The following is a 26,018-nucleotide window of genomic DNA, read 5'->3' on the forward strand; positions in this document are numbered from 1 at the left end:
GTGTTTGACAATTGATTGTGTACTGCCCAATGGCACACCTGACTTTAGAGCATTGAGATTATATATGTACATGTGTGTCTCTGCTGTACATGATTAGGATCATGTGACACTGATCAGTTCCACAGGGTCATTAGGCAGGAGTCCCAAACTTGCTCTTTATTTCATAGGATGACATCAATCCTAGTTTGAGGAGCAGCACAATCTCAGGTTTCTGAATTTAACTTCACAGGGTCCAGAGTCATTAGAGTGTAACATATTGGCTCTGGACTCAGACAGCTGGGTTGGAATTACACACCACCATTCACTATCACATGACTTCAGAATGTCACTTGACCTCCGGAGGTCTCAATGTATTCATCTGTAGAATGGGAATAAGAATACTCCCTCAGATGTTTGTTGTAGGAATTGTAAAGTAATTTGTGGAATATGTTCACACAAGGCATGGCTCACAGTGAGCACATGGCCAGTGTTAACTATTATAACTGCTCTGGGGTTGAGGAACAGTTCATCCCTCTGTCCTGAAATTCCTTCTATAACATAGTAATGGCCTACACTCCCTTTGACTTAGAAGGATTTCTACTTTCTCCCTATTTACTATAACTTGGCTATTCATTTGATTGTGAATTGCCCAAAGAACTATTAATGTCTGGATTCCGTAGGGGTTACACGTAGTGGTGCAAGATGTTAAGGGTGCCCTAGGGAAATGAACACAAGTCTCCCACATCAAAGGGTGAAGATGCACTAGCTAGTTGATTTAGCTCCTTTTCGGAACATATTCCCTTCATGTGCGTGGCTATAGTGTTGTGTGGGTGGCGCTAAAACTTGGAGATGATAGAGAACTATTCCTTCAAGGAAGAGATTCTCTTGAACTCTATTGGCGTTGGTCAAAAATGAACCCTTGTGAGACTGGCCGCCAAGGATCACATCGCAGAGGTAGTGCTATGTGTTTCTTCTTTTGGGGTACACAAAAAACTACATTTCCCAGATTCCCTTGGAGTTAGATTAGAACCATGTGGCCAATAGGATGTAAGTAAGAGAGACACTTTTGGGGCTTGTCTTAAAAATATCTAAAAATATTTCATCATGTCTTTGATGACCTTTCTTGTTATTCAGCACTCTAGACAGAGGGAAGAGAAAATGAAAAGGTCTTGAGACAGAAACAAGGTGATGTGTTAGAAGCCTACCCAGAACTAAGCTTAAGGCCTCAAATATATATCTCAAAAAGGAGTGAGTTGAGAGAGGTGGGCAAGGGGTAACCCAGTTCATGAATTAATATATAAACACTATATTCATAGGACAGCACCTCAGCCTCTCATTCACAGCCCATTTGTTATTCTAACAAGTTTCATTATCTGGCTTCCAGATCCAGAACAAATTAGAGACGGCTAATTTGCTAATCTTTTTCTTTTCTGTTTTTTTGTTTGTTTGTTTGTTTGTTTTTCTGAGACAGAGTCTTGCTCTGTCGCCCAGGCTGGAATGTAGTGGCGCCATGTCAGCTCACTGCAACCTCCGCCTCCCAAGTTCAGCAATTCTCCTGCCTCAGCCTCCTGAGTAACTGGAATTACAGGCGCTCACCACCACTCCCAGCTAATTTTGATATTTTTAGTAGAGAGGGGTTTCACCATGTTGGCCAGACTGGTCTCGAACTCCTGACCTCAAGTGATTTGCCCGCCTGAGCCTCCCAAAGTGCTGGGATTACAGGCATGAGCCACCACGCCTGGCTGAAGCAGCTAATTTGATGGGAGCACAGAACTGCTACAAGTAGACATACCCTCATCGATAAGATGAGGGTATTCTATCCCACCCACAAGCCCTCCACTTCTCATAGGTTTACAAGGCCATTCCCTTCGACTTTCCTCATACGACATGATGTCAATTCCCTTTTCACTTTAGCTCTCTCCTTTAAACCTCCTCTCATTCTCTTAAATCCTCTCACATCAAAATTTAATGCAATGTTGCATGTGTGGCTCCGTCAACAATGATTGGAGCCTGTGTTTAAGAGGCAGCCACAAACTCAAACACTTCCAGGGACAGAAACGTAGAGTAACTGAATAAAGAAAGCAAGTACAAGACAACAAGAAATAGTGTGCCTCATGGTGAGTAAATGAAAAGAAAATGTCCAGCCAAAGCCATTCTTGCATCAATCACAAGAAGGGATCCAATATTCTGACCCAGATGATTTGTGTAAGTCAGTCGAGACATGGCATGTTTGCCCAATATGTCTGAAAGAAAGAATGGATATTTCATATTTTAGGGAAAAATGTCTTCATCCCTGCTGTTGGACACAAACAAAGAAGCATGAGCCGCCATCTTGCCACTGGCCACCACCTTACAACCCTGAGGAGCAGGACCCGCATTGAGAAAATCAGGATGGAAACATGGAAGGCACCTGCATCCTTGATGATGCCACGAATCGCTGAACCAACCAGTCCTAGAGCGTACCCTAACTTTAATTTCTGTATGAGAACAAATGTTTCATTGTTTAAGACAGTTTGAGTTGGGACTTCTCATCCCACCCTCAGCAGCATCCTAGAAAACACAGAATTCCATTTGTAAGTGCTGTGATAACCAAATAAGACTTGCTCAGGAGCAAGACAGAACCCATGGGCACTTGAAATGTGAGCTATACTGTGAGCAAATACTCCCGGATTTTGAAAGACTTAGTGAAGAAAAAAAAAATTAAGGATCTCATTAATACACTTTTTATATCCATTACATCTCAAAACAATAATATTTTCTGTATGTTGTTTTAAATAAAATATATTCAAGTCAATTCGCCTATTTCTTATCTTTTTTAATTTGCTTACTAGAAAATTTAATATTACGTACGTATTCACATTGTATTTCTATTAGACAGCACTGATCCAGTTATTGTACTTCTTCCAATCAGCCTGAGGACATTAGGTCTCTTAACATTATTTACTAATACTTCATTTGCCGTCCACAAAAGTCTCTGAACTCTTCTTAGCCTTTCTTGTGCTTAATCATTCTCTCCATTCTGTTTTCTGAAGTTATTTTCTTAACCTAAGAAATTTATGTTGATCCTAATTATAGCTTAGAAGTCCATTGCTACAGGCCAATGGTTCACCAGAGGACATGCTGGAAATATGTGGGGGCAGTTTGGGTTGTCACATAAGGGGGAGGGGACACTGTGGCATTTAGTGAGCAGGGGCTTGGATATTGCATAGTGGATAAGAGAACTGTCTCACTTCCCATTCCCACATGCCAATCCCTATACATATGTATAAAAATGACCAGAAGCTGATTTCATTTTACTTATTAATATAGGTATTTTTTGCATGGGGCTAATGTAAATGAATTCTCCAGGAAAGCGACCGCTGTGTAAATGAAGGGAAAAGTATACTTTGTTTTGCTCAGAACTTCAGAAGTTATTCATCATTTAGAAAAATCACACATTTACAACAGTGGCAATACTGGTATATGAGTCACCAGAGTAGCTCAACTGCTTTGATCCACATTTGAGCTGCTCCACTAAGATAATTCTATGCATAGGTCCTATTAGGTTGGTACAAAAGTAATTGCAGTTTTTACCATTAATAATATACCTGTTAAATTTTTATTTCAAAATGTCAAATATAAAGAAAAAGTGTCAACAATATTCAATTGAATATTGTTTTCTCTTAAATTCAAACTAATTCATTACATCAGAGGCAAGCATCTAAGTACAATCAGTTCTGATATAATATAATATATGCATTCCTACAAATCACTTCGCTATGCAAAATCACACGGCATAACATTCAAAAACTTCAATATTGACACATTTAAAGAAACAAATAAAAATGGTTGCATGGTTTTACAGATGTTAAATGGTTAAGAAATATATAAGTACTACAACGCACATGGTACTTTACCTTGAAAAAGACCAAAAGTTTGCTTGTGTACCTGTGGGCCATGGAAACGTACAGCTTGTGAGTTACTGTGGAGAGTCACTCAGAGGCTGCACCTTTCTGTGGAAAGAAGAGTTGTCTGAATGAGAAGAAAGGGTGTAACACCAGCTGCAGATGGGTACGACTCACCACATGCAAAAAACTGAGGTTGCTGGGAGATGTTTGAGTCGTATGCAAGTGGACTCAGCTGGCTGCAGTTTCCTCTGTTCACCTCGTGTTGCTCATGAAAGAAATCATGCATAAGCAAACGGAAATGTTTATTTGTTCCTTCCTGTATCAGTCGTGCTATAATTAATTTGCATTTCCAAAACAAGTATTATGGCAGAACCAATCGTGTGTCATTATTTCCTAGTGTGATTTTATTTTTTAATGCCCTTTATTTCTCCTTTATACTACATTTAGGGCTTTATATTAAAGTTTGGAAATTACATGTCTAGGTGGCTGAGACATTCAGTTCACAATAATGAAAGTGGCACTTCAAAATATTTCATATAAAGAGGGTGTTGGGTCTAAAAGGGTTGAGAACCTCTGATCTAACCTACTGAGTAGTTGCTGAAGAATTGCGTTTCTATGCATTTGTTACTCCTCTTTGGTATGTGCAATCCATAGATTTAATAAATGTGTCTCCCACAGAGCCATTCAAATCACTAAAATGATTTTTTTTTCCAGGACAGGACTAAAGAAAGAATTCAGGTCTTGCCAGTAGAAATCGCCCTCTCATGCATCCATTAACCAGTCCCTAGACATTCATTCAATCACAAAACGACCTCACCTTTCATATCTGTCCATTTTGCCCAGCAGGTTAGCAAAAGAAACCCTGCCCAGGAACTTCCTGGGGTTAAGCCACCCCACAAAGCCAGACCATGCTGCTTGCCACATTCACATAATCCTCTGGTCTAAAATTCTCACCAAATAGAAAAGCTCATGTCATTGAGCTTTTCTGGAAATGCCTGAGCCTGCTGATGTTCCTTTAGAAAATGGTTTCCTGATTGGAAACCGGTGTTCTGTGGTCTGACCAGCACAGGAAATACCAACACATGAATAAAACACCTATTTTGATTTTGGTTTTGGTTTTTATAAATGGAGACATTTTCAAAAGAAAAGAAAAAAAATTATCGGGCTGGAGCAACAATTTCTAAATCCCATCACCTGGGTAGTGTTTAAAAATACATAGAACCAGTCCCTACTCCAGATCCACTGAGGTAGAATTTCTGGAGTTAGATCCCAGCAAGTGACATTAAAAACAATTTTTGCAGGAGTTTCTGGTGTGCAGCAATCATGCTTGGAAGCAAACATCTCAATCATTATGTCCTTCAAGTAGATATTAATAACTAGTGAATGCTAATACACACGCCAACTACGTGCTAGGGGCTGAGGCTTCAAAACCATGGTTTTCTAACTTGTAAGAGATACACAGTCTAATACACAGTGTCAACTGCCATACAAGAGGCAAATACTATGATAAAGCAGGTATTTCCCAACCTTTTTTCATGATTACCACCAGAAGAGCCATTTTAGATATCTTTTTCCTAATCTCTTCCTACCATGAAATTTTATATACTGTGTATCTGTTTATGTATTACATATATCTACATTTTATACATAAAAATAATCTTTTTATTCCCCTCTCCAAATAACCAGTCGGTGCCCCTTGGGGGCAATATTACCTGCATTGAGAATGCATGTGATAAAGGTATATGGAAAGGATAACGGGGCACAGTTAGTCAACTAACTGCCTGGGACAGTCAGGGAGGGTACATGAGGAAGTAACATTTGAACTAGGTTTTGTAGGATAAGTAAGAGTTTCCCATCTGAGAAAAGGGAGAGAAATGAGTTTAGGAGGAACGGCTCCCAAGCATGTTTGCTAACTGTTTGCAAAGCATGGTGTGCTCTGAGACCTGTACATCCACAGAAGGAGTGGGGCATTTTAAAATACAGATATTAAAATACAATTTTCATTAAAAAACTGACGCTTGGCCTGCCGTGGTGGCTCACGCCTGTAATCCTAGCACTTTGGGAGGCCGAGACGGGCAGATCAGGAGCTCAGGAGATCGAGACCATCTGGCTAACACGGTGAAACCCCATCTCTACTAAAAATACAAAAAATTAGCCGGGCGTGGTGGCGGGTGCCTGTAGTCTCAGCTACTCGGGAGGCTGAGGCAGGACAATGGCGTGAACCCGGGAGGCGGAGCTTGCAGTGAGCTGAGATCGCGCCACTGCACTCCAGCACTTCAGCCTGGGCGACAGAGTGAGACTCCGTCTCAAAAAAAAAAAAAAAAAAAAAAAAAAAAAAAAAAAAACTGAGTCTGATGAAGCATCAAATCCTGGAATCCTTTGCAGGTGGCATGAGTACACAGGGAACGGAAATTGTAAGAACATTGAGTTAGTAAAGACAGGTACTTGGTGCCTTTAATTTCAGCCTATGTCTCAGATGGAAAGGCTCCTGAGTAATAAATAATAGAGCACACTTTGGGCATAGTTCATTCACTCTTCTTCCAGACACATTTCAAAGACCATTCAAAGCAAGTTGTGAAAGCTCTGATTAACATACAACACAGAGCTCTCCCTATATACTCTCAAGGGTAAAAATACTGCTGAAAAGTCATTTCTTTTTAAAGCTGAGCATCTAACACCACCTTGTGAATGATAATAAATGGCATGCTAAGCTGCAAGGTAGACCAGCCCTCTGTCTGAGTCTGCAAGTTTTATTTACACAAAAATGCATACCCATTCTTTGGCCAAGAGACCATGATCGTCTTCCGGTGAGATAAGATTTCCTATGGGACTCCTGGTATTTCCCAATTCAAACTTGGTCAGAAATAGCAACCCAAACTCTCATGGGTTTGTTTTCCTTTTTTTTTTTTCTTCTTCTTCTTCTTCTTCTTGATAATTCCCATTCGAGCAACATTAGGAATGTACATGTATTTGCTCTTAAAATAATATTCCAGTTATCTTTCCTACAGTTGGAGAAGTTTAGGATTTTTTAACAGCTTCAAATCTTACTGAATATTTAGGGGAAAGATGTATAGATAAGGGACAAAAAATGTTGTAAGAGAGAAAATCCATACACCACCATCTTCATCCCACTAGGTATGGAGATAGAAACTTAATATGAAAATGGAAACTCTTGAACTAAACACCTTCAGAAGGGTGGCACTTGGACATTCTAGAATGGAACATGGCAATACCAGTTTTAATACAAGAAAACATTCTTCCACAGGTGGTTCCTCTGAAACACAAGCAAGCTGCTTGCTTCTTGATGGTGGTGTATTTTTCCTATTCACAGAAGCCTATAATAGCATGATGAAGTAGAACTTGCTGGCAACTGGAGCATTTGTCTTACGATACTTTAAAAAACCACCAAAAACCAGCCAACTGGGTGCTCTGAGAATCAAATCAGGCACTGTATGTGAATTCAATTCACAAAGGGTTTTGGACACTGGTCACTCTCTCTTCTAGGCCCTTCGGCACTTAAGCAAATGCCTTGTGTAGAGAGTCCTTCGCATAGTCTTTATCTGCAGTCACATCTTTTTCCCACTTTTTTACGGACTTCTTGAAGACAGAATCTGTGTCATCATCATATCTCCAGCAGTTACAAGAATGAGGCACCTTACGAGCATATCTTGAGAAAGTAGATGAATGAATGAATACATGAAGAATGAACTAGAGGAAGTCAGGATATTGCCATAATACTATGGGAAGTCTTGTCAATCAATAAGGCTATCTCCCCACCATGACAAGTAGCTAGAAGGAGAGCCATTCATACCAAATGCTAACACCAGGAGAAAGGCAACCCTCCAGCACATCCCAATCAAAATAAAGTTCCCTATCTACAAAAGGATTGTGTTGTCAACTTTCCATACTAAGAATGGTCCCCCACATAGAGGGGAACAACACACACTGGGGCCTGTCAGAGGGTGGAGGTTGGGAAGAGGGAGAGAAGCAGGAAAAATAATTAATGGATATAAGGCTTATAACCCGGGTGATGAAATAATCTGTACAATCAACCCCCATGACACACATTTACCTACATAACAAAGCTGCACATCCTGCACATGTACCCGTGAGCCTAAAATAGAAGTTAAGAAAAAAAATGGCCCCCATATTTCCAGCAGTTGTTCTGAATTAAGAAGTCAGATGCCTGGTTTTCAAAATATTACATGCAACGATGCTTAATTGTGAGGATAGGTTAGATGCCAGCATCTCTGTCACCAGAAATGCAGGAACAAATGTGGAGAAAAAAATGCAAAGAACACAAAGCCATCCTCAGCTCCACAATAACCTTAGTCAATGAGTAATGCCCAGTGAGTATAAGGTGAGACCTAATTTTTTCTACTTGTAATGTACATTTTATCCATTTAGTCGTTCAATACCTATATTAGCCTTTTGGGGTATTTAGTAGTGTATTAGTCTGCTAATGCTGCTATAGCAGAATACCACAGATTGGGTAGCTTAAATAACAGAAATTTATTTTCTCATAGTTCTGGAGGCTAGAAGTTCAACATCAAGGTGCTGGCAAGTTGGTTTCTGGTGAGGCCTCTCTTCTTAGCCTGTAGATGGACACCTACTCACTGCGTCCTCATATGGTGGAGGAATACAGATCTCTGGCATCTCTTCCCCTTTTTATAAGGACACCAGTCCTACTGGATTAAAGCCCCACCCATATGATCTCGTTTAACCTTTATTATTTCCTTAAAGGCCCTCTCTCCAAATCCAGTCACACTGGGGGTTTGAGCTTCAACATATGGGTTCAGGGGTGGGGAGATAAATTCAGTCTATAACAAGCAAACAAACGAAATTCAATGCATATGTTTTTCATTCCTTCATCTGTGAATGTTTACCAAAGAACTATGGTATATCAGATGCTCACTAGGTGACAGAGACACAGCAGTGCCCAAGACAACTATAGTCCTTTTCCAGCCTCATGGAGCTTTTCATCCACTACTAGAGAGAGGAATTAAGCATGAAATTATACAACTAATTTCAAAAGAGATCATGAGGAAGAAGAATTAATAGTATTAGACAAATGTAACAAGCATAACTCAGAGCCTATAACTTCATGTGGAAATCGGAATGCTTGGTAATGTGCAGGGCGCCACAACAAATACAAATTAATATTATGGGTGAAAAAAAATGAAGAGAAAACCAGTACTCATGAAAGAGATACAATTGTGTCTGCCCTGTCCAATTCTAATAATTAGAATTCCATCCATTTCAGTGAGCACTGCTCAGCATTAGATGTATTTATTTCTTAATGGTCATTATGGGCCCAAAGATAATTACACAAGGATATTGCAGCATTGTTTGTAGAAGAAAGAGTAATAACCAAGTGTCCATCAAAGGGGAATTGGGTACATGCATAGAATACCTCTATACAGTATTCAAAAGAAGAGACTAGTGCTGTATATACTAATATGAAACTATATACTAAAAAAATTGTTGCGTTTAAAAAAATGAAGTGTAGCATGACATGCAGAGTGTGCTTCCGTGTGTGAAATTTCGGGAGAGTCGTATAGATTCAAGTAGACTTGCACATACACAAACTATCTCTGGAAGAATATATGAAACAGGATAACAGCCAGCGGTTGTTGCCTCAAGAAGGGTAAGGGGGTGTATTAAGGTCAGGAGTAGTAAAGAGACAGACTTTTATTACAGTTGGAAATGTATCATATCTTATTAGAGAAAACATGATCTCAAACAGCATATATGAAGAAAAGTTGTATTAACCAATAATAGAAGCTCATTTTGTAATCGGCCTCCATCTCCAATGTGTTTGCTTAACAGGATCCTCTAAATGTTTAGACATAAGGTAAATGGAATTAGATGGGTAGAAGGCGAGATTTAAATACTACTGGGAGAAGTTGGAAGTTGGAGAGTTAAAAAGGTGAGGGGTGAGAGATTCCTATGACCAGCAAACAAAGACATATGTTTGGAGGATGAAGCTTTGATTAGAAAATGTAATTTTAGATGGCAAATAGATACACTGTTGGATAAAAAGTGATTCACATAATGAGACAATTATTCCCTTTTCAAGTCTTTTCTTTTATGGCTCAGTTATGATCAAAGAAGTCTCAGTGTGGTGAAAGTATGTCTTTACGACCTCTGGACACTTCCCTGAAGTTAAAATTCAATAACACTGTTTTGATTTCATTGTTTCTTTTCACAAATACCCTTCTTAGGGCAAGTGACTCTAGCTTCCCACTTACGTATTTTTTCTAAAATAAATGTACTTAATTTTAATTTTTTAATGAGCCATTTTTAATAAAAATTTTAAGTAATATAAGAGGTGCAGGGAGATAGCAAAAATTATAAACATGAAACATGAATGACTAAAGTTTAGGAAGCAGTGGCTTGAGAAACAAATTCTTCTCAGCCTGGAGTGTAGGGAAGCTGCACAATTGTGTGGGTGTGATTGTTGTTGATCTTTAATTTCCATCGCACCAAAGAAGCAGTGAATAAAAATGAGGGAGTTTTTTTATTTTTAGGAAGCTGCAATTTCATTCTCATTGCCAGTGATATTTAACGAGAATATCGTTACTTTCCTAGAGTTGATTCTTTGGGTGACTAAGACTCCTTAGAACCAAGAATGCAAGCACAAACTCTGAAAGCCTAATTAAAAGTATGATTCTTGCCCCGGTGCGTAACACTAACTCTTTTGTTAGCATCCCATGAGAAGAAACACCTCAGCTCAAATCACATTTTCCTACCTTCTCCCTTGCCAGTTCTGCCACTTTTTCATTAGCTAATCCCAATTAAAACACTTTGTTACTAACACCATAAATCTCTGCCACTCTCAATAAGCATAAATTATATGGCAAATAACTATATTATATGTCTATCCAGAAAAATAACACCTCCCACCTCCCTCCTGTTTTTTGCCATCTTGGGACTCAGAGCTTCTAAGTCAACACTCACGCTTTTTAATTTGGGTCCCCTGCCCCCTCTAATTACTTACCTATAAAGCTACACTTTTTTAAGGAAGAAAATTATCACCAATGCCCTTCTCTAAACTTAATCATTAACTGCGCTTTTTCTTCCTGTTTGTGAACAATTTGAGGTAGTAGGAAAGGCTTGGTCATTATATTTACAGCTAACTCTGCCATTTATCAATGGAATGACCTGGAACAGCCATCCTGGCTCACACCTAGGCCTGAATCATAAACTGAGGAGACCGACCTCACGGGATTTTGTTTCAAAATTAATTAAGGCACATGTAGACTGTGTTTAGCACAGTGCCTGGCACAAAATGTGGGCTCATGTTGTCTAAAGCGAAGTGGTGATTTTGTTTGCTTCTCCCATGGTCAGCAATTGCTTAACACAACATTTCATATATTAAACTAACAAAAAGAAACATACCTCATCCTGTGATTGATTTTCAAGCTCATTTATTCCTCATTTCTCTGTGGTTTAATTTAATTAAATTGAGCAGCCCATCAAATATTGATTTTAATAAAATCTTGATTAAGATTTGAGCAATTATCAAACGCTCTTTTTCATACCATTCTTGCATTTCAATAGAACCAACCTCAAAAACCAATTTGCTTTTAAAATAAAGAAGTGATTTTATAGATATTCTTCAGGCCATTTTCAGAAATAAAGAAAAAATGGCCTCCCGTTGTTGTTATTAGCCGAGATAAGCAGCAATGTCTGACCAGCGTTTTAAAAAACTTAATCCAGTAGTTATCTCATCCTCAATGAATAGTAGAAAGGGAAACTCAAAAAAGAATTAAGTCCTTTAATAAACATTAATTTGGCTCCTACTGTGTACGAAGTACTATTTTACCCAATGCAAGTAGAGGTAAGGAAAAGCTAATTATGTAGTTAGTTTTAATGTATGTGGAAAAATTCAGCCACACGTGAAAGTTTTTGACTTTATTAATTAATAACCAGAGACCTACATTTATTCCAACCCTTAAAATTACTCTGTTGTGCAATTTATGAATATAGGCTCATTATTAGGAGAATCTAATGTAAATGTGATGGTATAAATTATCAATAGTATTATATTAGCAATTAACCATAAGTGTAAGAGATTTAATAAGTTAAATATTTGGTTTGATAGTTAAGCGCTAAAAAGAAACGGTAAAGCCAATAGCTGTCACAGCAGCACCACCTAGAGGCCTGTGAGGAGTAACACAGGTCATTTCCCCAAACTTGCCTTCTTACTTAGAGACAAAGAGCAGTAGCTACTCCATTTCAGCACCTTCTGTCACCGAAAGCATTTTAATTCTATTCAGCATATTCTTAAATCTTGAAATATTTACAAAATAGCTAAATGAAATTGAATAACCTCAAAATCACAATGTAGTTTGGCAAAAGATGTCAATTTTCCCCCTGGCATAGGAGATGAAACTGGGCAACTACGGGAGCAGCCCAGGTCTTGGGACATTACAACGTGAGACACAGGCATCCTCTCTCTAACACACACCTCCTTATTCTGTCTTGATCCCAAACACATGAGTGCCCAGGCCGACTGCACATTTGATAGCACTTCAGAGTTATGTTCCTGAGCTACTGCCCAAAGTGTAGTTAGAGATGTTGAGAAGAAATTAACTTTCCATTGTTAACATTGTTTATATCAGAAGATCCACTTACTAGTTCCCTTCCACTAGCCAAAGCTGAACTAATGTTCTGGAGATGGAATTGAAAGAGAAATGACAAAACATTTTTCTTTTTTATTATTTCCCATCCTTTCTTCTGTTATCTTTTATAATTTTTCTCAACCTCTCAACCTGAAAACTTCCTTGGATTAAAATTTAGATAATAAAACAAATCAGCTCTTCATAGAAATGAAAACACTCCTTATATTATTTGGTTTCAGAATTTCAGCAGACTTTGCTGACCATCAGCTGACTGCAGCTTCACAGGGGAATGGCAAAAACAAAAACAAAAACAAAACATAACAAAACAAAACAGCACATTTACTGCATATACAAATTGGGGCTAATGAGGCACAAAGTACCGCTCATCTTCATTTCCACTTGAGGGCGCTGTCTGCCTCAGTGAGGCGGGGGTGCTGAGTCAGTATTTTGCCAGTCAGTGCAGCAAATGCAGAAGTCTGCCTTAACCTGTACTTTCTGGCCTCCATATATGAAGCTGGGGTTCCTACCTGAGCACACTAGTAAAGGAAAGGCGGCAGGTCCATTCATGCGCATGCTCTGAATTTCAGGTAAGGCACTTGAGCACAGTTTACCAAAATAATACTAGGTTTTGCCTAGAGAAGTTTTTTCCCCAATCTGTATGCTAAAGTCATAGCTGAAGTCACATCAAACTGCAGTAACTTTAGTTTTTTGAAACATCAGACTTTTCTTGCACCTGCTTTTCCCTCTGTTCCACCCCTACACCTACTGACCTAACTAGTGTCCGAGCCTCCTTTGGATCTCAGCTTAGATAGCACCAGTCCAGGATTCCTTCTAGGATCACCTCATGCTGGGTTAGGATGACCTTCTACGTGCACCATTTGCAACCTAAACTTCTCCCACTGGGAAACTTTGTGTGCAGTTTTGCAACTGTTTGTTCATTAACCATATCCCCCACAAGACTGTAGGCACCGTGCAAGCAAGGGATATTTTTATCTTATTTATGGTTGTATTCCCTTCACCCCCACGATTCTGCCTCAAATATTCCATCAATATTGTTGAAGGAGGCCGGGCGCGGTGGCTCACACCTGTAATCCCAGCACTTTGGGAGGCCGAGACAGGGGGATCACGAGGTCAGGAGATCAAGACCATCCTGCCTAACACGGTGAAACCCCATCTCTACTAAAAATACAAAAAATTAGCCTGGCATGGTGGGGGGCGCCCGTAGTCCCAGCTACTCGGGAGGCTGAGGCAGGAGAATGGCATGAATCCGGGAGGCGGAGGTTGCAGTGAGCCGAGATCATGCCACTGCACTCCGGACTGGGAAACAGAGCGAGACTCCATCTCAAAAAAAAAAAAAAAAAAAAAAAAAAAAAAATATATATATATATATATATATATATATATATATATATATATATTTATATAGTAGAAGGAATGACTGTCCCATATAAGTCTGCTTTATCTTGGGAGGGACTCTAATGTTCTATTCATAGTCTCCATTTATTTGCCTTCCAAGCATGTGCCTCAGCATCCACCATTTTGCTTCCACTCTTACCTTGTTCTTTTAAGATCCAAAGCGGTCAGAAGAAGTGATCAAGATTCAACAAGCTAAGCTGTCTCCTGATGGTCAAGGCATTCTCTTCACCATGTCCAGGCTCCTTACAGGATCCACAGACAACTCATTCCAATTTCTGAGTCAGCTGCAAGAGAAGAAGTCAACCAAATAGATTTACAAAAGGGATCGGATCATGCTGGAATGTCTGGTGTGACATTACAAGGCAGCATCCTCCCTGGGAAGGAGATGTAACTCCTTCCTTTTGCCAGTCAGGTAACAATGTCCTCTTCTCTCTTGTATGCAGTTGGCAGAACAACACAGAAGGAGGACAAGGGAGCTCAGCCTTGTTTCTTGCTCGGCCACTTATCGTGTCCATGACAGGCTATATTTTGGAATGAGAATAGCATAGAGCCATCTAGATAACTTGGAGGATATACAACAGGCACTCCAAGACAGAAGCAGAACTATCATGGAGAAAGTTCCAGAATGGGGTGAAATGAGATTTACCACTCTGGATCCTTATTCCATCATTTGGTTTCTTTGCCTCAGACACAACATCTGCAAAACGGAGCCAAGCTTGACAAATTCAAAGGGACATTATAAGGCAAGTGAGACAGAACACATGGAAGTGCTTGGAAAACTATGCCCAGGAAACAAAAAATAAGAGATTAGTGTTTATAGAAGAGCAGCAGACTGCCATACTATCCACTATCCAATACCTTTAGGTTTTAAAGATTGGAGGACATTGTTTCACTGTCTTCACCCTGACAAATGTTTACTTCAATTAGGAAATAAAATTTAGAGAAAAATTGGCCCAGCATATGTTAAATGATGATCAGTGGATCCTGAGCATGAGAACCAGTTAGTGATCATTTAGAGTGAAATACAAGGAAAATGGCACATACAGTTGCTCTGTTTTTTTTTCATACTTACAATTGTATAGATGAAAATATACATGCAGAACATGGTAAGTAAACATGTCTCAGTCGACTCTCTTAGAAAAGACTCGTAGCCTTTATTCATTCATAAAAGCACATTTTTAATTACTGAAAACTGGCAACACACAGCATGAGAATTTTCCCAGACAAAAGACATCAAGTCACATTTTTCAAGAAACACAACAAACCCCAAGCAGGATAAATACAAAGAAAACCACACATAGTACAACTGCAATGTATGCACGAAAAGATAGAGCTGCAAAATATTTAAAGCAAAAAGTGATAGAACTGAAAGAAGAAACAGACACATCCTTGATGATAGGTGAAGAATTCAACATCCCTTTCTCAACAATTGATAGAAAAACCAGACAGAAAAATCACCAACGATAGAGAACTTAACAATATCATCATGCAACAGAATTTAATTGACATTTATAGAACACTCCCACCATTTTAATTGGCACCACCCCAATGGCTAACGATGCTGAGTATCTTTTGGGGTGCTTATTTACCATCTGTATATCTTCTTCAGTGGAAAGTTTCTACCTGTCTTTTGCCCATTTTCGAACTGGATCATGTTGTTGTTGTTGCTGCTGTTTTTGTTGTTTTTACTGTTAAGTTTTGAGAGTTCCTTAATTATCCCAGATACTAGTCCTTAGTCAGACACATGATGTGCAAATATTTGCTCCCAGTCTGCAGCTTGTCTGTTATTCTCTTAAGATGGTCTCTTGAAGAGCAAAAGTTTTAACTTTGATAAAGTCTAATTTATAAATTTTTCCTTTTATGAATTGTATTTTTGGTGCCAAGTCTAAGAACTCTCAAACTCTCACCACCACACTTTTCTTTTCTTTTTCTTTCTTTTTCAGTGTGTGTACTGTCTTTATCTGATTTGAAGACCAGGGTAATGCTAACTTTATAAAATCATGAAATGAATTGGGAAGTTATCCCCCTTCTTCTGTTTTCTGAAAGAGATTGTACAGAAACGATGTTAATTCTTCTTCATATATTTGGTGGAATTATTTAGTGAGTCCCCAGTGGAGATTTCTTTTGGGGAATGTTTTGGTCCGTTGGTCACCAATACCAGCTATGACCACGTGACCAGTTGCTAAAAACGAGGACTGTAATTGTCATAAATATTTCCTTCTTATTTTGTTAAGAACATGTTTGTGCATATGTATACTTATACTAAGAAAATACCTTTCTTCATACTCATTTTATTTCTTTTTCCTTTATCATGTGATGTAAGATTTATTGACTTCATATCAGCATTTAAGTATTGTTAACTTTATGTAACAGCATTTGAGTTGGGGATTGATGTGTTTCCAGTTGTACAAAGGATAGCTGTTAGGCACATTTATGATTATGTTAGGCATAATTATGACCTTATTTCTGTCTTTATTTGAAGATTATGTATGATTTTAGGAGATGTATATGGGTTCAAGTTGACAATGGGTGGACTTGTAATGGTTAATATTGAGTGTCAACTTGATTGGATTGAAGGATGCAAAGTATTGTTCCTGGGTGTGTCTGTGAGGATGTTGCCAAAGGAGATTAACATTTGAGTCGGTGGACTGGCAAAAGCAGACCCACCCTCAATCTGGGTGGGCACAATCTAATCAGCTGCCAATGTCACCAGAATAAAAGCAAGCAGAAGAACGTCGAAAGACAAGACTGGTTTAGTCTTCTGGCCTACATCTTTCTCCCATGCTGGATGCTTCCTGCCCTCGAACTTCAGACTCTAGTTCTTCAGCTTTGGGACTCCAACTGGCTGCCTTACTCCTCAGCTTGCAGACGGCCTATTGTGGGACCTCAACTTGGGATGATGTGACTCAATACTCCTTAATTAACTCCCCTTTATATATACATCTAACCTATTAGTTCTGTCCCTCTAGAGAACCCTGACTAATACAGGGAACTTTTAAATATGAACTCAATTTATTTTGCTTTTCTTTTCCAAGTTTCTTGAAGTGAGAGTTCAGATTAAGACTTTTCATATTTTCTAATGAGAGCACGTATAATTTTTCCCTCTAACTGCTTTAGTTGGGTTCCACAAATTTGATACATCTTATTTCATTGTCTTTCAGTTCACTGTATTTAAAAAATTTCTCTTGAGACTGCCTCTTTCAACTAGAATTATTTAGAAATGTGTTGGTTAGTTTTCAGGTGTTTGCAGATATTCCTATTATCTTTCTGTTATTGATTTCTATCTTGAATCCACTGTAGTCTGAGAACACACTCTGTATAATTTCCATTCTTTTAAATTTGTTAAGGTTTGTCTTACAGTCCAGGATGTGGCCTATCTTGTTGTATATGTTCTTTGGGCACTTGAAAAGGATACGTCTTCTACTGACGTTGGTGGGAGTGTTCTATAAATGTCAATTAAATTCTGTTGGTTGATGATATTAGTTCTCTATCCTTGGTGATTTTTCTGTCTGGTTTTTCTATCAATTGTTGACAGAGGGATGTTGAATTCAACTATCATTGAGGAAGTGTCTGTTTCTTCTTTCAACTCTATCACCTTTTGCTTTAAATATTTTGCAGCTCTATCGTTTTGTGCATACATTTTAATTTTTAGGTTTGCTATGTCTTCTTGGTGGACTGATCATCTTATCAATGTATAATGGTTCTCTCTGTCTCTGGTAATTTTCTTTCCTCTGAAGTCTATTTATCTGGTATTTATGTAGTCACTCACTTTCTTTGGATTAATGTTTACACAACATTTTTTTCATCTTGTTATTTTCTGCCTGCCAATATTATTATATTTTTAAATGAGTTTCATGTAGATGATATATAGTTCAGTCATGCTTGTTCTAATGCTCTCTGATGACCTCTGTCTTTGTATTGGTGTATTTAGACTATTTATACTTAATGTTATTGTTAACAGGCTAGGGTGTGGTGGAAGTGGCAGAATGGGTTCCCACATTATCTTTACTGAAGCTGCTGGGGGAGAGGGCAACTAGTTAACACCCAACAGGGACGAAAGTCCCAACTCCCTACTCATTCTTCTCTGGCAATACTATCACAGAGGATGGAGGGAATGATGGCAATATGAGAGTGGAAATCTATATTCTCCTCTTGGGCTTTGATGGTTTTTTTCTGTGGTGTTTGGCTGGAGTCGAGTGGTTGTTTTCTGAGAGTTTCCATCTTTTTAGGCTGGATGTTTGTTGATCCTTTGGGTAGAAAAGGTAGGCTTTCATTGGGACTTTTAAAATCTTTCTGTGCCTGTTGACATTTCTGGTCTGCCAGCTCCTTGTGCAAGATATCCTAGTCTAGGATATATGTGACAAAAAGAAATCTCAAGTAACTTATGAGCGTGTCATTCCTTGGATCCCAAGGTCCCTAGCCAATCTGTCTGGTTATCTCAATCTCTTCTGTTTGTATATATAATCTTCAGAGTTATTAGGTATAATTAGGGGAAACAATAGGCAGAAGCATGTCTACTTCATCTTTACAGAAACAGAAATCACTGATCATTTTTGGTTTCTTAATTCATGCTGACAATCTCTATCTTTTAATGAGTCTGCTTATGTGATATATATGTAATTATTGATGTATCAGGATTTGATTGTTCCATCTATTTACCATTCTACTGTTTGCCCTTTTCCCTTTTGGGTTGCCCAAACAATTTTTCATATGATAATTTATCTACTTCACCTTTTTACTGTATCAGTTTGTAATTTTTCTTATTGATTGCCCAAGAGATTATATAGCTCATTTGTCACAATCTACTTAAAACCAATACCTGACCACTTCAATTGAAATGTAGGAAACTTACCCTTAGATTAGTCTCTTTACCCTCCCTTTACTTGTAGTTACCTTACATATTACATTTACATTCTTTCAAAACCCCCAAAAATGCTATAACCTTTTTCAACCATCAAACACATTTTAGAGAATTCAAGCGAGTAACAGTCTATTACAGGATTCAGCAAACTTTTTCTGCTAAGGGCCAGATAATAAATATTTTAGGCTTTGCAGACCATACAGTGTCTGTCACAACTATTCAACTCTGTGCTTATAGAACGAAAACAGCCAAAACAACACATAGCCAAATGAGCATAACTGTGTTCCAATTAAATTATATTAATCAAAATAGATGGTGAGCTGAATTTGGTACATGGGCTATAGTTTGCTGACCGCTAGTGTATTATACTTACATTTTTAGTTTCTTCTTCCTTCATTTCTAATGTTGTATGTTTCCCTCTCATATCATTTCACTTCTGTCTTAAGAACTTCATTTAATGTTTTTTTAAGTGCATGTTTGCTGGCACTAAATTTCCTTCATCTAAGAATGTCTTGGTCGAGCACGGTGGCTCATGCCTTTAATCCCAGCACTTTGGGAGGCCAAGGCAGGCAGATCACGAGCTCAGGAGATCGAGACCATCCTGGCTAACACGGTGAAACCCCATCTCTACTAAAAATACAAAAAATGAGCCGGGCGTGGTGGCGGGCACGGGTAGTCCCAGCTACTCGGGAGGCTGAGGCAGGAGAATGGCGTGAACCCAGGAGGCGGAGCTTGCAGTGAGCCGACATCACGCCACTGCACTCCAGCCTGGGCGACAGAGCAAGACTGTGACTCAAAAACAAAACAAAACAAAAAAAAGTCTTTATTTCTCCCTTTATTACTGAAGGGTATTTTTGCTGTATATAGAAAATTGGGTCGACAATATTTTCTCTCAGCTCTTTAAAGAGATAGTTCCCCTCCAAGGTTTATGACCAGGAATCATGCCTGTATAAATCAAAATCATTTCTCTATAAATAATACTTCATTTTTCTCTGACTGCTTTCAAACTTTTTCTTTATCTTCAGATTTTAGCATTTTGCTTATGATGTATTTGGATATAAATTCATTTTTGTTTATCCTCTTTGGGATTCACTGAGCTCCTTGAATCTATAGATTTGTATCTTTTAAGATACATTTTTAAAATTTAACTATTACCTATTCAAATGTTTTTCTGCACTACCCTATTTCTCTTCTCCCTCTGAGACACTGATGACAAATCTTAGATTTTGGAGATTTTTCACAGTTCCTTGAGGGTTTGCTTTTCCTCTCTTTTGCTCATATTGGATAGTTTCTTTTGATCTGTTTTCAAGCTCATTGACTCCTTCCTCTAACATCTCCAGTCTGCTGTTTAGCTCACCCAGTGAGGTTTTCGTTTGTTATTTTGTCAGTTCTAAAACCTCCATTTGCTCCTTCTTTACAACATATATTTACATCATCTATTTCCTACCTGAGATTTTCTATCTTTCCATTTGTTTCAAGAACGTTTGTCCTTACCTCCTGGACTACTTTGATTATAGTTATTTTAAAGTCTTGGCCAGATAATTCTAAAATCTGTGTCATCTCACATCACAAGAGAGTCTATTGATTCCCTTCTCTTAAAAAAGTTTTTTTCTGGACTTTTGTATATCAAGTGATTTGGGGTTGTATACTGAACACTTTGAATATTAGGTAATGAAATGCTGAGTTTTATTTAAATCCCATAAAGAATGTTGGTATTTTTGTTTTTGCCAGAAATCAATCCAATTTGGTTCTGGCTCCAAGCTCTGACCAGCCTTCTGTGGCTTATGGTTTCAGTGTAGGTTCCACTTTCCAAGAATTTGAAGAAATATTGGATCTGACCCATGTTTATTCTACCCAGTCAGCAGTCTCGGACTTGCACAGTGGTCTATACCACAGTTCTATTCTCAAAGTCTTTGATATATTGTCTGGGATCAGAAACACATATGCTCAGTCAGGGGTAAGTCTGGGAGTCCAAAAACAACTTCATGGGGTTGCCTTCCTGAGCAATTCCCTCACTGTGAATCCCCTGATAGTTTCAAATTCTCTGGGGCTTTTCTTGTTAATCCTCAGGCCAGAATGCTGAGACTTTACCCAACTTTGCCACATTCTGTAATTGTATCTGTGTCGAGGTCCAGTGGTAAGAGAACACAGAAAAAAACAGTGAAGTTTGCCACACACTCTTGAAACCAATGCCCCTCTGCTCAGAGAATAAGGTCCCTGTATTAGTCTGGTTTGTGTTGCTATAAAGGAATACCTAAGATTGGGTAATTTTTAGGGCATAATTAGAGGGTGCCAGTGATATCAATAAGTATTTCCCATAACTGACCCAAAGTCATAGAATTGCAGTATTATAAAGTTTCAGAAAATCAATCATTTTATTCTTATTAGGACAAAGACACCTCTAATTTCTTAATTATTATATAGTCCAGTAATTAATTCTTTTATGGGATTAGTACTTTGGTATCTTGTTTAAGAAAGCTTTCCCTAGCCCAAGGTAATGAAGATGTTTCATTTATTTTCTCATGGATATCATACTGACACAGTGTCATATATTGAAAAAAACACGTTTCCCCCACTGGACTGCAGCGCCACTTTTGCTACACACCAAGCATCCATATAGGTATGCACAATTGAGAGACACAATTAAGAGAATAAAATGTAAGCCACAGAGTAGAACAGATTTGTAATAGATAGATATAGGTGTAGCTGTAGGTATTTATGTAAACGTAGACATATACATATAATCATCAAAAATCTTGTACCACAGGGCACACACACATGCACGCGCACACACATACACACAAAATCCAAAAAATATAAGTCAATAATTATGTGGGGGAAAAAGTGATCAGTCTTATCCGTAATCAAGGAGATGCAAATTAAAACCACATAAGACACTACTTTACATGTACCAAAATGGCTAAAATCTAAAAGCATGACAATATTAATTACTGGCAAGGCTGTAGACCAAAAGAAATTATCTTGCACTACAGTGTGAGGTACACTGGCACACTGGCACAACCACAGTGGAAAACAGTTTGACAGTGTGTGATAATGGATCATACTCTATGACTCAGCAATTCCACTCCTGCATATATATATACATATATATATACCTGAAACAAACGCATGCCTATGTGCACCAAATGACATGTCAAAGAATGCTTTGGCAGCATTATTCATAATAGTCAAAACCTAGAAACAACGAAAATATCTCTCAGCAGTAAAAGTATAAATAAATGTAGTGTTTTCTAAAAGTGAGCACTACACAGCAATAAAAATGAAGAAACCACAACTGCACACAACATAGATGGCTATCATACACACAATGCTGAGTAAAATTGTGCCCAAAACAAAAGATTACCTACGAGGTAATTCCATTTATGTAATTTTAAATGAAGCAAACTAAATTATACTGTTAGAAGTCAGACAACTAAATTTGCAGGCAGAGTGGGAATAATGATTGGGACTGGCCAAGTAGAAGTTTCTTGGGTGTGAACAGTGTTCTATTTATTTTAACCTGGTTTGGGGGCTTAGGTGTTCACTTCATGGTAACTCACCCCCTGTACATTTGTTTTGTGCACCTTACTTTTTTATGTGTTATACTTCCCAAAGTAATTTTGAAACTAAATAGATCAGAGACCTCAAGACTGGATTATCTGAGAAAAGGAGAGGTACATAAAGAGCATGACATTTTATTGCTCCCCTCAGGCCTTCCTTTCTTCTTCTTTGAACAAAGTTAATCGACCAGGAAATATTTACGGTTTACCCTCAACCATAAGATACTGAGAATACCTATGATGTGCAGTACACCAAGATGGGAACTGCTTGCTGGAGCTAGAAGTATAAAAATGGGAATTATGTTAAAATGGGATTAGAGGTAGATGAAACAGATGAAAGTTCTAAATTAATAACAGGTTGTCTACAAAGAGAAAGGGAAAGATGTTCTTTAGTGACAACGTCAACAATATGAATTACAGAAATTTTTCCTAGGGAGGGTAAGAAGGAAGAGAGGTTGAGGAGAGGATAGTGAAGAAGGGAGACAAGATGGAAATGGGGGAAGGAAATGGGGAGGAAAGGTTAGAGAAAAGATGAGAAGGAGGGAGAGAGGAGGGAAGGAATGCAGGGAAGGAGGAAAGATGGACCAAAGAAAAGACAGAAGAAAGAAACATGGTTAAATGATCCACACTGGTCACCTGGTATGAGCCAGACATTTCACCCACATAATATTTAAACCTCGCATCTCAACCTTCTAAGGTAGATACTATCTTTCTTACTTTATAAATGAAGAAGCTGATGCTGTTTTTTTTATTGAAGGAAATATGCCTAGAAATGTCAACCCCACATGCATACAACTCCAAATCCTGTGCTCTAGGAAAACACTTAATTTCAACAGGAAGGATTCCCTTATGGAAAGCAAATACTTCTATTACACTTAGGTCTTGAAAGGAGTCACCCCAGAGGGTGCCTTTGTCCTAAGAAGAAGAAAATGATTGATTTTCTGAAACTTAAAATCTATAATACTGCAATTCTATGACATTGGGTCAGTTTTAGGAAATACTTATTGATATTACTGGTATCTTCTAATTATGCCCTAGTATTAAGGAGTATTTTATTTTATTATTTTATTGTACTTTTTTTATTTGAGACAAGTCTCACTCTGTCACCCAGGCTAGTGAGAGTGGTGTAACTGTGGCTCACTGCAACCTCAAACTCCCAGCCTCAAGTGATCCTCTTGCCTCAGCCTCCCAAGTAGCTGGGAATACAGGCATATACCACCACGCCCAGCCTTTTTTTTTTTTTTTTTTTGATTTTTAGTAGAAATTATGTCTTGCTTTGTTGCCCAGGCTGTTCTCAAACTACCGGCCTTAAGCAATCCTCCTGCCTCAGCTCCCAAAACACTGGGGTTACAGATGAAAGCCACCATGCCTGGCCTGTGAACATGTTAGAAGAATGTAGTGTCTATTTTCTGGAGGGAAACCAGTAGAATACCAGGAGAAGTTCTGGTAAGTGACAAACAATGCCTTACCTTATGAGAAAATGGGCACAAAATTTATTCTACAGCCCAGTTCATAATATTTGCCAACTGCCAAGAATGCCAAAGATAGCTATATGGGTTGGTATAGAAAATACCAAAAAAAAAACTCAAGATCATTAAGTTATCTGGATTTCTTCAAGCTAACCAGAGAGCAGTAGCAAAGTATCAAACAGCAAGAGAGACTCCCAGAAGAAAATCATCTCCTTCTAACAAAATCATATGTGAAAAATAGTGGACTTGGTCTCTGCATGTATCACTTTTGGGGTTAAGTCAGAGTACTTGCAAAAACTATTATTCACTAATATTTTCACTTACGTTCAAAGTTATTTAGCACTTATTGTGAGTCAAAAAGAAAGGCCGAGGGGATGGGAGAAAGAGGAGAGGGTAAAAGGGGAATTCACATATATTGGGGATGGAGTAGGAAACATGTAAGACATTGCAAAGACACTTTATATAGCACAGCTCTGGATATTCATTACAGGTCCAAAAAAGGCATGAAAATTAAACCGAGCTACCTCCAAGGAATAATTAGAAGTGAAAAATTGATAAAGGGGAAATGGCTCAAGTTCTCCTCATTGATTTTCTGTGCACAGAGTCAAACTTGACTGTTGGTTGGAAGTCAGTTTGGCTACTTCTTATTTCTTTTTCAGCAGTTGGGTTCTCCCGTCAGTGCGTTTTATGCTAGAATCGTTCTTTGCTCTAATTACAGCTGTCAGCTATTGAATGAGCTTGACATCCTGACTCCAGAAACAAGGAAATTCACACTCCATGCATATGCAGTTGGTTCCTTCATTAAAGCTGATTGACATATCAGACATGGTGCACTGTCACTGATTTTTGTAAGAAAAACAAACGGCTACACAATCAAGTGGAATCTCCTTGATCAGAAACACCCAGAGAACCCAAGAATCACTCTTCATTCAACTCAGCCAGTATTTCTGTAAAGACCTATTATTTGTATTACTGCAAAATGGTAGCTATAGTCAATCAGGTAAGAGCCAGATCTGTACACACATGCATGCATACACACACAAGCACACAAATGCACACGCACACGCACACACCAGACTCAGACTCCTTCCCCACAGCTATAGCAGTCCTTTCCAAAGCAACTTTGTTGGAGTACCAGGTGTTGAGAGTCAAGCGGGATTCTTTGGCTAGTAATAGTGAACTGGCTGAGATATACAGATTTCTTGGAGGGAAAAAAAGGAGAGAACTACAGTGATCAGAATCACCCACACCTCAACAAAAATTAGAGCAGAACTACAGTTTCTCAGAGTATTTCTGTAGTTAATATAATAAAATGACAGATGTGGAGTTGAAATGGATCATCGAGTCCAAGCCTGCCAATGAGTTCAAAACTGTCCCAGAGCACCCCTAACATGGACCATTCAGAATCCAGTTGACATTCCTAGCACGATGTATGCCTTGTTCAGTGTGAGACTACTTTCTGGAAATGGATGCACAAACAGAATCGGTATTACAGGAAGTTGTTATGGCATGATCCCTATGAAGATGCATTCCCAACTTACAGCTTGTATTTTGTAATCAATATTTGTCCTCCTCTAACCTCAGGAAGTCATAACACGACTCCAGCCATAAAATTTTCCTGCTGTGCTTCGTCGTACAATAGTGGCTCTTTTCCTCCTAGGCTATAAGGATATTATCAATGTCCCTCAAAAGGTCAAGTGACTTCTGATCATTCCTAACTGATCTTTAACGTGTTTCCTCCAACAGTTCCTTAAACACCCAATGGAATGCTCTTCTATGGCAACGTATAGAACCTCCGGAACTACCATTTGCAATTTTTTAGTAACTCAGAACTGTTGATTTTTAAAATGGCAAAAATACAGATCCTAATGGATACTGACAACTAACAGAAATACTGACAAGTAGCAACTCTTCAATGGAGTTGAGAACAGGAAGAGGGTGCTATAACTAGGTGAGAACATAAAATGTGCAACTGTGCTTACTCTACTGATCTTAGAGTAGACAGATAGAAAGTAATTTTTTTAAGTACATAAGGTTGTACTATTTGATGCTCTGATATATTTTTCTTCAATATAAAAACTACTGGGAGGCGAGCGAACAGTATCTGCCCTGAACAGGGCAGTACTAATGGACGGTCACAGGCAGCTAAGACTATCACCAAACCCCTAGAGCAGCCCAACCCCGAAGTCAGATGGTCCTGTCCCCTCCTTACTTGCTCC

General features: G+C 38.5%; 1 long non-coding RNA gene across 1 annotated transcript in view, besides 2 other annotated features; it reads right to left on the reverse strand.

The window, feature by feature from the left end:
- Positions 1–26,018, reverse strand: part of DYNLRB2-AS1 (DYNLRB2 antisense RNA 1) — a 407,178-nt gene that overhangs the window by 358,636 nt on the left and 22,524 nt on the right. Inside the window, exon 2 of the long non-coding RNA NR_120307.1 lies at positions 14,049–14,193. This is a non-coding gene — a long non-coding RNA (DYNLRB2 antisense RNA 1). The remainder of the gene's footprint in view (positions 1–14,048; positions 14,194–26,018) is intronic.
- Positions 12,810–12,859: a silencer, noted in NCBI's record as "silent region_7741". NCBI's record gives its function as "represses an Ori minimal core promoter by ATAC-STARR-seq in GM12878 lymphoblastoid cells {active_cell/tissue: GM12878}" and the evidence as "EXISTENCE:reporter gene assay evidence [ECO:0000049][PMID:35858748]".
- Positions 12,890–12,979: a silencer, noted in NCBI's record as "silent region_7742". NCBI's record gives its function as "represses an Ori minimal core promoter by ATAC-STARR-seq in GM12878 lymphoblastoid cells {active_cell/tissue: GM12878}" and the evidence as "EXISTENCE:reporter gene assay evidence [ECO:0000049][PMID:35858748]".

The sequence above is a fragment of the Homo sapiens genome, chromosome 16, assembly GCF_000001405.40.
Source record: "Homo sapiens chromosome 16, GRCh38.p14 Primary Assembly".
NCBI classification, from domain to species: domain Eukaryota; kingdom Metazoa; phylum Chordata; class Mammalia; order Primates; family Hominidae; genus Homo; species Homo sapiens.